The sequence below is a fragment of the Homo sapiens genome, chromosome 18 (genome assembly GCF_000001405.40).
Source record: "Homo sapiens chromosome 18, GRCh38.p14 Primary Assembly".
NCBI classification, from domain to species: Eukaryota; Metazoa; Chordata; class Mammalia; order Primates; family Hominidae; genus Homo; species Homo sapiens.
The window spans coordinates 34,910,340-34,924,780 of NC_000018.10; the positions used below are offsets into that span (position 1 = coordinate 34,910,340).

General features: G+C 36.4%; 1 long non-coding RNA gene across 7 annotated transcripts in view; it reads right to left on the minus strand.

Annotated features, from left to right (window-relative positions):
* LOC105372061 (uncharacterized) overlaps positions 1–14,441 on the minus strand; it is a 51,352-nt gene that overhangs the window by 18,324 nt on the left and 18,587 nt on the right. For 4 of the 7 annotated variants that reach the window (XR_002958217.2, XR_001753406.3, XR_001753404.2 and 1 more), the window contains exon 1: positions 3,287–3,518. This is a non-coding gene — a long non-coding RNA (uncharacterized LOC105372061). Of the gene's footprint in view, positions 1–3,286; positions 3,558–11,405; positions 11,460–14,441 lie in introns of those variants that run through there. The other 3 variants (XR_007066333.1, XR_007066334.1, XR_935370.3) reach the window with 3 other exon arrangements.

Consider the following 14,441-nt stretch of genomic DNA (forward strand, 5'->3'; position numbering starts at 1 on the left):
ATTCTGCATCATACAGCATGTAAGTTGTTAATCTAGAGTGGGACATTTTGAGGACAAAAAAATGTTTATTCTACCATGAACATATCTTTTTTATCAAAAGCTTAATTTTTAGAAGGATTTCATTCTGATGTCTTGCTGGAATGCATTAGCTGCAGAATTCAATTGAAGGTATCTAAAATGAGAACACCTGTGGATTTACTTTGGTGTTTCTAAAATGAGATGGCCTAAGGATTCGAGTTTTTTACACAACTAGATAGTAGAGTCCATTAAAATGAAGTTGAATCTCAATAACTGATATTGAGATTTTTTTAAAGACAGTGATTGGCCATGAGAATCAATTTATTCTTGAGGCCACCTCCAAAATTTTGACTAGATCATTAACTTGTCCTCCCATTTTCTTTGAAGGGAGGACATCATTTAGTTCATGTAAGAACAGAATCAAATTATTCAGACATGAATTTACATAGAAGGGCTGAGATGCAGCCCTGTTTTCACCACTGCATTGTTCTGTCCACTGCCCATCCCACCCCCTGGAAACTCAGTGGGGCATTGAAACTGACTCTGGAAAGACACATGTGAGCTTGGAATCTACAGAGGAAATATACAATCTGGCCCTTAGAGATTTTTCCATTTATTGAATCAAAGACTAATAAATGCTGTAAAGACTTCTGTTCACAATAAAAGTAGCATCTTGACATTTCTGGAAAAAGTTACTAACATATAGTGGGATTCATATATTACATTATTGAACGCCCCTATCCTGCAATTTCTGGAGGAAACTTGCCCTAATATAATTTATTTTTAGTTCTTTAATAATTCAGAGTTTGAAATACATAATAAGCAAATTCTGATGATCCCAAAACTACAGAACAAACCACAAATAACATAAAAGATCTCCAAGACTTCCCTGGTAAGATGCTTCAGCAGTTACTAAAGAGTTCACCTCTAAACGAACTTTCATCCTTACCAGTAGCTGATTATTCATTCAGATGAAAATTCAACTGAAAATACTTTCAGTTCAATGGTAACTACCAATAAAGAAAGAATTTTTGTGTAGAGATTTAGGCAAGCACAAATCAGTCTTATATCAGTTTCACTCAGCTTTATGTTCCATATAGCATGTATTCCTTGAACACAAAAATAAAAAATTTAAATCCTTGATATTTTTATATCAGAGGCAGTATTTTTCTGATACATATATCAATATACATCCATTCATTATAGTGGCCCAAGGACCTTATGATCACAGTGATGATATGAGACCCAGAGTTTTCCTTGTTTATAAGTCAGTCATCAAAAAAATGATCCTTTTTGGAGTTTTATGTTATCATTCCACTTTTTTGGATGAAAGAGATAATTTGCAAATCACAAGGAGGAGGGCTTAAAGTTTATATTGTATGCTAGGCTAGTGACTAGAAAATATTACCAGGATATGTAAATTACTCGCCTACAGCTTGATACAGGAGCCACTTCAGGTGGAGCATGGGAGAGCATATATGTGACTGTTCCTGACTCTAAGTAGATGGGAAAGCCTGAATTCAAGCATGAGAAATGCTGGGAAAGAAGAAAAAATGTTTTGGAATAATAATGGTTATTCTATCTGAAATGGTATATCCTTAGTGAATTGTTTCTAACCGTAACCTAAATCCTTGTATTTTCCACAAATCAGCATTTACTGAACAAATGTAAGAGAATAAATGATTACCATTCCCTCTCTAGGAACATCTGTTTCCAAAGGAATTTTGGCAGAGTTTACAAGTGATGTCAGACTGCTAGACACAAAGATTACAATCTGGCTAATTCTTGCCCTGGCAGTCCTACCTCCAGGGGAGCCTTCACTAGAAAAATGCGAGCCAGAGTTTGAAATGGGTTACTATACATTCTCACTGGAAAACAAACAAAAGGCTGGAGGCAGGAAGTGCTCATAGCTGGAGTTTTACTGAATCCCTCAAATGTTTACATTCAACATTCCATAAAATGTCTATTTGGGAAGATGAACAAAGAGAAACATTTCCCATTATGAGGTTTAGCATCAACAAATATTTACTGAGATAACTCCTTTGAGGTGGAAGGAGCCTCCAGGTTCTTTCTCTTTTTTTTTTTTTTGTTTTTTTTCTGAGACGGAATCTTGCTCTGTTGCCCAGGCTGCAGTGCAGCGGCACAATCTCGGCTCACTGCAACCTCTGCTGCCTGGGTTCAAGCAATTCTCCTGCTTCAACCTCTTGAGTAGCTGGGATGACAGGTGAGCACCATCATGCCTGGTTAGGTTTTTCGGTATTTCTTAGTAGATACGGGGTTTCACTATGTTGGTCAGGCTGGTCTCCAACTCCTGACCTCAGATGGTCCACCTGGCTCGGCCTCCCAAAGTGCTGGGATTACAGGCATGAGCCACTCCAGGTTCTTTCTTTATGGACCAATGTGGTTCACAACACTCATAGAATAGTTACACTTCAGATGGGTAGTTGGCCTACTGGGATTTCATAGGATCCTATAATTACTTTCTGTTCATCAGCTTTCATTGGGTCATTAGAAATGTGGTCAAGAAAGGACTTTGAGTGGATTACTTAGGCCAGGGACTACAGCAACCACTTTAGACTGGGAAGACTCATTATTGTGAGCATATATTGTGAGCATTTTTAATATGGATGGAAAGAGGTGACATTTGGGTTTTGTTGTAACCTGCAAAATATTGGTCTAAAGAAATGCAACTCTTTCAAAGTTAAGGTTTGGTGGACAAGAGAGACTTTGCCCTAAGCTAATTCAAAAGAGAATTAAAGAAAAGACCACTGAAATCAAGTAAAAATCTGTTTTGATGGTGAAAAGAAAATGGAATAGAAAGGAATGTATCATGTGCCATCACTTGGACCCACAATAAGCAGCAGTGATGTTTCCGCAGCATTTTTCTTTTTTTTCCAGGTTAAAACTGGGTACATTAAAGAACAGGGATGTGCTATAGAGATTTTCACTGGATGACATATAGTTGTTTGATTGTATTACAACTGTTGAATCATTAAGTTTGGCTAAGGGACTAACATTCCATAAAGTTAAATGATAACATTGAAAAATCAAGGGGCACCAAGCATCAAGTAGGAGACTGGCTTACTTGACCCTAGGCAAATCACGTAACTTCTTATTTTCAATAAACTTCTCATTGAGGATATGGATGCTTGCTCTAAATTCTTTACAGATTTATTGTGATGATCAAATAAAGTAATACAATAAAATACAAATATATAGTAATTTATGATCATATAAATGAAAAGCACTATGAAGAAATATAACTCACCTTTCAAATATAATGTACTGTTATCGCACACACATCAGTTCCAGCACTATAAACTTAGTTAATTTTTATGTTCAGAGAACTTACTGTGATTAATTCCCTTCACCTCTTTTAAGAAGTCAAGGGCATTGGTTCATTTAATGAATGACATTGTTTTTAAATTATTCACTATAGAAAAATGGGTCTGATCTGCAGACACCAATTAACATTGTAGTGACCCTTGCCCCTTCCTAGGTTACCAGCCCCACTCCATCACCTTCCCCTCCCCTCCAACTGTCATTCCTCAGGCAGTTAGGGTAAAGGTTATGTAATTGCAGCAGTTCCTCCACCACTCATGATTAGAGGCCAATGTAACTGCCAACCAAGAAGCTGAAATAAACTCCACAATGATTACACTCCACTGTTGCTGAGATTTAACAGAAATTGCCCAACTAGAACCAGAAAAACATATATATATATATATATATATATATATATATGCAGACAAGAAAATCTGACCCAATGCCAAAGGAATGTTGTCCCCCTCCTCCAAGTAAACACAAATGTGTATCTGGTTATGAAAGAATTGTCCGGGAGAGTTCTCAGGCTCTGGTGTTAAGAAGCCTGCTGATCTGTCACTCACCACCATCTCCCCAGCCCCAAAGGTTCAGACAGGAAGTCAAAGGACACATGAGTAGAAATGATACAGGGATTTTTTTTGTTTTTGTTTTTTTAAGAGTGAGATATTGAAAGCTGGCTCCCATTCCATGGCTGTGGGCCTCCTTTAAATATAAACAGCAGCAAGAGCTGAGAATGACTGCCATATTTGAATGCCAAATAAACACAAAATGATGAGCACAGATTTTTGGCTTTATATTAAAGTTGGTTTTTTCAATAACCCCTTTTGTTGCCTCTAAAGACAATGGTCTCCGTGTTTCTGAGCCAGATTCCTGGGACTCTGAGCAGATCCTCCCTTGCCGCACCCCAGCGGAGTTCACTCCACAAGCAGGACTAGTGTTCCTTTTGGGTTGAAAGCAAGCCATCTTTCCCCTCCTGGCCCACTGCTGTAGAAGCATTTGCTTATTGAAAATAAAGAGCAGTGGTATATGACACTTGGAATCTGCAGACCAAGCCCCAGGGTAGTTTGATGAGGGATGTGTTCAGTGGTTTCTGCTTGGTTGGGAAACGGTAGTTTCATCATGAGATCTGCAATGGACTCATGTGGATGGAGTTGAGGATTTATCCACTTCATTAATTCATTGTAGGTTTAATTTTTTTAATGAGTGTTTATCATTTTTGGTTTATGTCATGTAAGGTAGCAATAATCAACTTCACTAGATAGAACTACCTGGCTTTTTACTCTCCTTCCAGTCTGGCAGTTAAAACAAACCAAAAATTCTCTTAAATGGTTAAGTATCTCAGGTATTTACATAGGTAAGTGTCTCAGTGCAGATATGTGAGCCAATCAAATACGAAGAGGTCTGGTTATGCATATCCCCTTATCCCCAGGCACCGCCTTTTTTAAAGCACTACATCAGGATTTCAAAGTTCTATTGCAAAAGCACTTAAATCCTGTGTGAGGGTACTCGTTTCTTACACTTTCCTTGTAACTCACAAAGGGTTCCCCTCTGCTGATTTTTAACCTCACAGATGAGAATGGAATTCAAAATTGTATACTAATATTTTAATTATTACTTATATAACATAACCAATTACCAATTAATATTTAATAATTATATATTAAATTTTTAATAATTATATATTTAATAATTCTTTAATAATTATATATTTAATATATAATACATATTTTATAATATATTATATATTTTATAATACATATTATATATTTTATAATACATATTATATATTTTATATTATATATTTTATAATACATATTATATATTTTATAATATATATTATATATTTTATAATGCATATTACATATTTTATAATACATATATATTTTATAATACATATTATATATTTTATAATATATATTATATATTTTATAATACATATTATATATTTTATAATATATATTATATATTTTATAATACATATTATATATTTTATAATACATATTATATGTAATATATAAAAAATATATATAATTATATGTAATAGTTATAATAATTATATATAATTATAAATTTAATTATTTAAATAATTTAATTAATTTATGTAAATTTAAATAAATTTAATATTTAATAACATGTTTAATTATCAGATTATGTAATACATGTAATACATTGTTAAGGGAAATTATTTAAACATAAACACAGTTAACGTTCATTTACCAGGTTTCTATTGTCTTCAAATTTGTAACAATAATAACCTAATGGGCTCAATGCCCACCCAGTGGCACCTTCACATTTTGTCTGTGTGAAAAAAGTGATAGTTGTAATACCTGATAATTCTTACCATTTCTATAGGTCTTTCCAGTTTACAACACACCTTAATAACCATTATTAGGGTTTGTCTTCAAAATCATCCTTATGAGAGGATTATTATCATGTCCATTTTATACAAGAAAAGACTGAGTCTTAGAAAAATTAGGTGATTTACTGACAGTCATGCAAATAACATGGCAAACCAGAATTCAAATCCAGGTCTCCTTATTATGAATTTAGTTTTCATTTGGGTAGAGCATGCTACACGAATGCCTGGAAATATAAGTGATACAAAGTTTGTAAACCACCTGGTGGAGTTGCACATAGCATTGTTCTTATCGATGATGTTTAAAAAATACAGAATACATTTATTATTCTTCAAGTATAAACAGCCGTTTTGTCAAAAAATAACAGATACTGGCAAGGTTGTGGAGAAACAGGAATGCTTTTACACTGTATTTGAGAGTGTAAATTAGTTCAACCATTGTGGAAGACAGTATGACAATTCCTCAAACACTTAAAGACAGAAATGTCATTCAACCCAGCAATCCCATTACTGGGTATATACCCAAAGGAATATAAATCATTCTATTGTAAATACACATGCACACGTATGTTCATTGCAGCACGATTTACAATAGCAAAGACACGGAATCAACCTAAACGCCCATCAATGATAGTCTGGATAAAGAAATTGTGGTATATATACACCATGGACTAATATGCAACCATATAAAAGAATAAGATCATGTCAATTGCAGGGACACGGATAGGGCTGGAGGCCATTATCCTCAGCAAACTAATGCAGGAACAGAAAACCAAATACTGCATGTTTTCAATTATACAGTGAGAGCTAAATGATGAGAACACATGGACACACAGAGGGGAACAACAGACACTGGGGCCTACTGGAGGGCAGAGGGCGCGAGTAGGGAGAGGATGAGGAAGAATAACTAATGGATACTAGGCTTAATACCTGAGTGATGACATAATCTGTACAACAAACACCCATGAAACACGTTTACCTATGTAACACACCTGCACATCCTGCACATGTCCCCCAGAAGTTAAAATGAAAGTTAAAAAAAAATAGCCATTTTGTACCAAATGATAGTTCCTCAGCCATTCACAGTATAATAGTTGGGTCACTGTGAGAATTATCTGAAGAGGTCATTCCCAACAGACTTTCTATTTATTTTTATTTATTCATTCATTTGTTCATTTACTCACCTTTTTTTTTTTTTTTTTTTTTTTTACTTATTTGCTTGTTTATTCATTTACTTATTTATATTAGGAATTTTTATCTCTCATACTTTTACTGTCAGCCCTGGTATCAGCCCTGATAAACTAGATTCTAACAATTAAAGCATAAAAAATAGTAATGCAGCCCACTTGAGAAGTATATTGAGAAGAATAACTAGAAAAAATTAATAAACACTTAGCAATCACTGAGCAGTTTTACAAACACCCATAGTGGGTTTCAATGGAATATTTGTCCTTTTCATATCAATCTATTTCCAACTCAAATTTCACTCTAAAGAACACATTATCATTCTATCATTTCTTTCAGCATTTGTGGTAGAACCATAATTCATCTCAAAAATGCAAATAATTATTTGTGGCCAAATAACATTAAATTTCAAAACCAGCATTTGGCATGACTAAAACTGAGTTCACTACATCCTCAAATGAAAGATTTTGTTATGGAGATCATTTACTATCCAAAGTTTTAAATATCCATGCATGAAATTCATAAAGAGAAAGCAAAAAAACAGAAGGTGATGTTCCTAAAAGGCATACATTCTCTGCCTATGTGCTCTCTACTTGTGACAGGAAAGCCCAAACTAAACTCCAGATCTGGTGGAATTAAAATGAAGCTGAGTTTCTACATAAACTCAATGAACTATGGACCAAAAGCTTCATCAACAGCCAAGTTCTTCTTCTGTGTATGCTTAAAAAGTACTCTATGTAATTTTGTTACCCTAGACAATATTTTCTGAACAAAGAAAACAGCAACACCTAACCCACATCCATGAGCTAGGATTCTTCAGATTCACTTGTGTTCAAAGACCTGAGCAGGGGCAAGTGATCACATGTAGATAAACTTCACATTGGATAAAACTCCAATTTTCAAAACAAACTGTTAGGAGAGGATGATAGGATTTTTGCTAGACTTCTTATCATTGGTGATGCAGGCTGAATATATCTTTGGGCCTAAAAATCTTTAATAAGCCAATAAAATTTTCCTTAGGCATGGCCTATAATTAACAAAGCAAGGTAACAACTCAGAATTCAAGCAATGACATCAATATTCTGAAGAAGGAAAGAACTGAGACCATCATTTTTTTATTAGAAAAATAAAAAAAATGTTTATTTTTATGTTATTAGTGTTTATTTTTATGTTATTTTATTTTATGTTATTTTTATTTTATTTTATGTTATTAGTGTTTATTTTTATGTTATTAGGGTTTCTTAAATACTTTCTTTCAGAATCAGCCTAATTTCTGTTTGCTTCTGGGACTATGAGCATTGTCCTTACCAAAGAAAATATGAAACTGTAAGGAAAGAATAAAGGATAATTTTGCGAACAACATTCACTTAGGAGATGATAAAAGTATCACTTAAATATCATTTTGAGGTGAAAAACTGTCCTAGAAAGTTAATGTGTGTGTCTTCCAAAATTGTTCTTACAGACCAATATATAAATCTAGGCTGTTGATGATGTTTGTATTAATAATGATGACTCAAAAATAAAATAAAATCAGAGCCCTATACAACCAACATCTTTTTTTTTCACAATAACATAAGTCCTAATACAATTGTATTAAACTTGACTGTGAATAGTTTCAAAATCTAAGGGAGGGAAAAGTGGTCAGATAGGAATGCAAACTTCCCAATATTTCCTACCGGGCACTTGCATTTAATTCTTCTGCCTTCAGCAGCTTTCTATTACCTCTCTCTCTCTCTTTTTTTTTTTTTTTTTCTCAGAAAACCTCTTCAGAAATCCCTATATCACCCTCCCTCCCCAGCTCCCTTTTGGCCTTTCAGTCTAACCTGTCAGTACTACGGCCTTTGAAGTTGGCGTCTGCCTATGCTCTGAGCTGCTCTATCAAGTACTATCGGTTAATGAATTTTTAGGGCAAAGAACTAGGAGAATCTGATAGCGGTCTTGTGGTTTTTTTTCTCTTTAGTTAAATAAAACTAAAGAAAACTTTCTCTTCTGGAAGCCACATAGGGACAGGAGAGTTAAATTGATTAAGACTATGATCTTTTAATTGCATTTCCTTCCCCAGATAACACCTTCAGCAAAGCAGTAATTCTGATGTCAAAATCTCTTGTGCTACCAGACCTAGTGCTCTGTAGTCTCTCTGTCAGGCAGGGTTTTTCCACCCCGGTTTCCTAGGGCTTCTTCAACTGTGGAAAGCATTCTTTCGACAAAAATTTGTCTCTCAGTTCATCTACCAGCTGAATCCACACTCCCAAATCCAGTGCTTGACTTTACAGCTACCCAAGCTGATACTACTGCCCAGAGAAGGAATGCAAAGATGTCAGAGAAAATCCTGGTCAAGTGTGCAGCGGAAACAGTACTTTCTGGCATCTCACCCCAGAACTCTGAAAGTATTTCCCCATAGGGAAGCACATCTACACACATACATACATACATATAGTAAATGGACAAAGACTAGAAAGGTTTAAAGAGAATTAGGAACCCTAGGGATTTTTTTTTTTTTTGAGATGGAGTCTTGCTCTTGTCGCCCAGGCTGGAGTGCCGTGGCGCAGTCTCGGCTCACTGCAACCACCGCCTCCCGGGTTCAAGCGATTCTCCTGCCTCAGCTTCCGGAGTAGCTGGTATTACAGGCGCCTGCCACCAGGCCTGGCTAATTTTTGTATTTTTAGTAGAGACGGGGTTTCACCATGTTGGCCAGGCTGGTCTTGAACTCCTAACCTCAGGTGATCCACCCGTCTTGGCCTCCCAAACTGTTGGGATTACAAGTGTCAGCCACCGCGCCTGGCCAGGGAATTTCTTTTCTTTTTTCTTTTATTATTATTATTATTATTATTTCTGAGATGGAGTCTCGCTCTGTCGCCAGGCTGAAGTACAGTGGCGTGATCTCGGCTCACTGCAACCTCCGCCTCCCAGGTTCAAGTGATTCTCCTGCCTCAGCCTCCCGAGTAGCTGGGACTACAGGCGCAAGCCACCACGCTGAGCTAATTTTTGTATTTTTAGTAGAGACAGGGTTTCACCATGTTGGGCAGGATGGTCTCAATCTCATGACCTCGTGATCCACCCACCTCAGCCTCCCAAAGTGCTGGGATTACAGGCGTGAGCCACCACGCCCCACCGGGAATTTCTTAAAGAAAGTCCTTAAAGGAAATACCATTCCAAAAAAAAGGGGTGGAGGAGGCTAAGTTAACTTGAGTCGTTAAGCAGGGACAAAAGACTCAATTAAGTCTTGATCCTACTCTGCTTATATTGGTATCTTCCTTCGGAGCACTTGGCTTCACAGAGTTAACTTCAATTCCCATCTTTGATCTTTGCCTCATTGTGTCTTCCCAGGTTTTGAGTCCGAACTTTCCTGTACCCTCTCTGACTTGGCCTGACCCTCCAGTCGCAACAAATGCTATTGCACTCGTGCTTCCATTTCTAACCTCACAGAGACCCATTCATACCAGGGCCCAGTAGACACTGCCTCAGTCTTCCCTGCCTGTCAGATGTGGTAGGGCATACTTGCCCATCACACGGGACTCTTCTGAATGCAAAGGGTAGACTTTGCCTTATACAGCGAAGAGAAGATGGGACTTTTGCACTTAAAGAAACTATAACCATAGAGGAGTAAGGAGTTGAGGAGGAACCACCAGCATGTCTCCATGTAGGACTGAATCAGAGCTTTTCTCAAAGTTGCTACAGGGCTGTGCATTTGCTTTTCTGTCACACTCTGTGCACCCACCCATCTTATATGCAGTAGAGAGCTCCCCAACTCTCCAAATTTACCATGGAGAACCCAATGAGAGATTTTTCTAAAAAGTCTCCAAATGCATTTCCTGGAGTCAGGTTTAAGGTAGCAACAGGTCCCTGCTGTGTACAAGACAGAGCTGCAAACTGCAGAAATGGACAGAGAGTAGCAGACAAGGAAAGCATTAAAAAAAAAAAAAAAAAAACTTGTGGAAGTTTTGACATCATTTCCTCCAATGACTGATAACTATTTTAAAAGAAAATATTGGAAAGAGTACTAACCAAAATAGTACTAACCAAAAACCTGGTAACAGTAAATTGTTGACCATTATCCATAAATGAGATCATCAGTCCCTGGATAATATAATGTAATACTTTTGTTAAATTGAATTTTTTTCAGAGAAGACTATACTTTAGCATGATCCTAGCCTTCCTAGAAGGTCTTTTCTTAGAGAAAAACACATGAGTGTATTGTTATGTAACGACAACTTTGACCTGAAAGGGTATTTAGGCATTCTCCCAGACAAGCTGTTGATTTCCACATAAAATTGGCAAAAGAGAGAGCCATCTGGGATAAAATATTATGCACACTGTTGGTGTCTCACTGTTAAGAAGTGCATTTCAGTTTTGTACCACAAAAAAAACTGCTATTATCCTACTAATAGTTGTTATTTCTCAATAATCTCTAAAATCAGTTTCACAGATTTATAAGGAATCCAGGACGGATGTATTCATTTTACCTATTTCAAAATCTAAAACATAATTTTTAAATGAGCATTTAATGCAACTATCTACTTACCTACTTTCAGAGTTTTCTATAAAAAGTATGCTCAGTTCCAAGATCCCGTGGTACCTATGCAATAGAGATCCATCAAAACATTTAACAAAGAGATAAGAGATCTGGGTCTTAGCCATCATTCTACTATTCACTAACTATGAGATATTGTGTAAGACATTTAATATTTCCAGATATACGAGTTAAGATAACATCAGCTGTGGAACAAATACCAACATTTCATTGGTGATAGAAAATTGTTTCTTGTTCATAGGACAGTTCAATGCAAATACTCCAAGTCAGCAGCAACTTTCCTCCACACAGTTATTCAGGGATTCAGGCTCATCCAGTTTTAAAAATTTCTCCATCCACTAGAGCTTTAGAGTTATCTGCTTTTAGCTAATGGAAAAGAAAAGCAAGTGTGGAGAAGTCTCACTTGCCTCTTAGGAGTCTGGCCTACGAGTGACACATTTCACTTTCACTCACATTCCAATGTCTAGAACTAGCCAAATGGCTATGCTTGATTGTAAGGTTGGAGCCAGGGCCTGAGAAATGTGGTCTAGCCAGGGAGATCATGCATTTTAGGTGAATAGCTATAAATGTTTCTGTCACACCAGACCTGTACTTATTCACCTGTGAAATAATAATATCAATACCTGACCTGCCACCCCAACAGGAACATTGTGAGAAAAACAAGTAATAAGTATTAATGTGCTTTTTAAATAGTACCAGAGAAACACACCTCCACAAGGTATGTACATCAGAAAGCACATACCATTTAGACTATGACATAATGCTTTCTTATTACATAACTGTAAGATATATCTTGATTTCAGAAATTTAAAATTTTTAAAAATGTCCAGACACAGTGGCTCATGCCTGTAATTACAGCACTTTAGGAGGCCAAGGCGGGCAGATCACTTGAGGCCAGGAGTTCAAGACCAGCCTGGGTAACATGGAGAAACCCGATCTCTAAAAAAAAAAAATACAAAAAGTAGCCAGGCATGGTGACATTCACTTATAGTCCCACTACTCAGAAGGCTGAGGTGGGAGGATCACTTGAGCCTGGGAGGCAAAGGTTGCAGTGAGCTGTGATTGTGCCATTACACTCCAGCCTGGGCGACAGAGCAAGATCCTATCTCAAAAAACAAATTTTTTTTTTAAATGGTTCATGGTGACTGCCTAATTTGGAATCTACCACTCAACCTCCACCCCGTGAAAAAACATAAAACCAACAAAGAGAGCAAATAAAATCATACATAATCCACTCCTTTAGCAGTATTATGAGAGAGAATATCATGACACTCAAATTCTCTGTAAGTAGAGAAAAAAAAACTCCAGCTGAGCTCCTGATGCCTACCTACCACTACAAGCCTGTGGGTGAAAAGAGTGGAGGAGGCAATCCTTAAGAGACTATGAAAAGATCAAAGAGGCACAGATAACTGAAACATGGTACAAACAAAAGCATCCCCAGAAAGAGAAAGATCCAGCAGTAAACACTAATCACAGGGGAGAACTTGGTAATTAACAATACCAGCTAAAGGGAAGGGGTTTGAGGATGATGGCACCAGAAGCAGCAGTCTCTGAGAAGCATTACTCAGGGGAAAAATCAGTTGTACAGGAAAGGAGATGTAACCCTTGGAAATATAGCAGTAAAAGAAAAGTAGAATGTGAGAAAAGGAAAAGATATTTACTAAATTAAATAAAATAATTAAAGAAACAAAAAAAACAAAGCACACAATTTTTTGTCTTCCTGACACTATCAAACAACACCATCCATAAAAGCAACTCAGAGGGTAGAAACATCAGAATAGAGAATTGTCAAACTAGGAGCACTGACTACAAAATGAATAGGAATACAAATAGCAGACCACATCCATACAAAAGCTGGAGAACAACTCAGAAAATGTGAGTTGAGACATTTTAGTCAACAAAACCCCTCCCCACAAAATCAACCACAAAGCTGAAGAAATTGTCATAAAATACTCCAAACAGAATTAAACACTTTTACACAAATATTTGTAAGTATGAAAAAGCCTTGAACTACAAAAACAAAAATCAAGAACGGAAATAGAGGGGAATGGGAAAGAAGAAATAAAATGAAAGCTGAATTCAAGAAAGAGAGAAAAAGATAAAATTATATCAGAAATCAAAAGGTACCCAAAATTAGATTCAAATGAGAATTAAAAAAAAAAAAGAGATAAAGAAAGAAGTAAAAATGAACTCTCAATAGTGTAAACACAGAGATCCATACCCTGACATTTTTTGAAAGACAAATGGAAAAGAAAATCTTGAAAGCAGCAAGATAAAAATGAATCATCCTCTACAAGAGAATCCAACTAGATTAACAGCTGTCTTTTCATCAGAAAAGATAGAGGCTAAAACAGGTGGGATGAAATATCCAAAGTGCTAAGAGAATCTGTCAACCAAGAATCTTGCATCTAGCAAAACTGTCTTTCAAAAATGAACAGAAAATAAAGTTGTTCCCAGATAAACAAAAGCTGAGAGAAGTCATTACTAGAAGATCCACCTTATGGCAGAGAAATAAACTGGCATTGGCCTTGTCAAAAACAACATACAAAACAAGGCAACAACTGACCCACTGTTTTAGTACATTTTGTGTCACTATAACAGAATATCTGAGACTGGGTAATTTATAAACAGGAGAAGTTTATTTGGCTCACAGTTCTGGAGACTGGGATGTTCAAGAGGATGGCATCAGCATCTGGTGAGGACGTTCATGCTGCATCATCCCATGGTGGAAGGTGGGAGGGCAAGAGAGGACAAAAGCGAGAGAGCAAGAGAAGGGCAAACTTGTTTTTATATCAGGCTCACTCTTGAGATAAATAACCCACTCCCATCATAATGACACTAATCTGTTCATGAGGTTAAAGCCCTCATGACCTAGTCACCTCTTATTAGTCCCCACCTTCCAACACTGTTGCATTGGGGATTAAGTTTCCAACACATGAACTTTCAGGGACATATTCAACACATAGTAACAACATTTTCAAAAAAAACTAAAAATGTGTAAATTAAGAATATTGTATCCATCCAAAC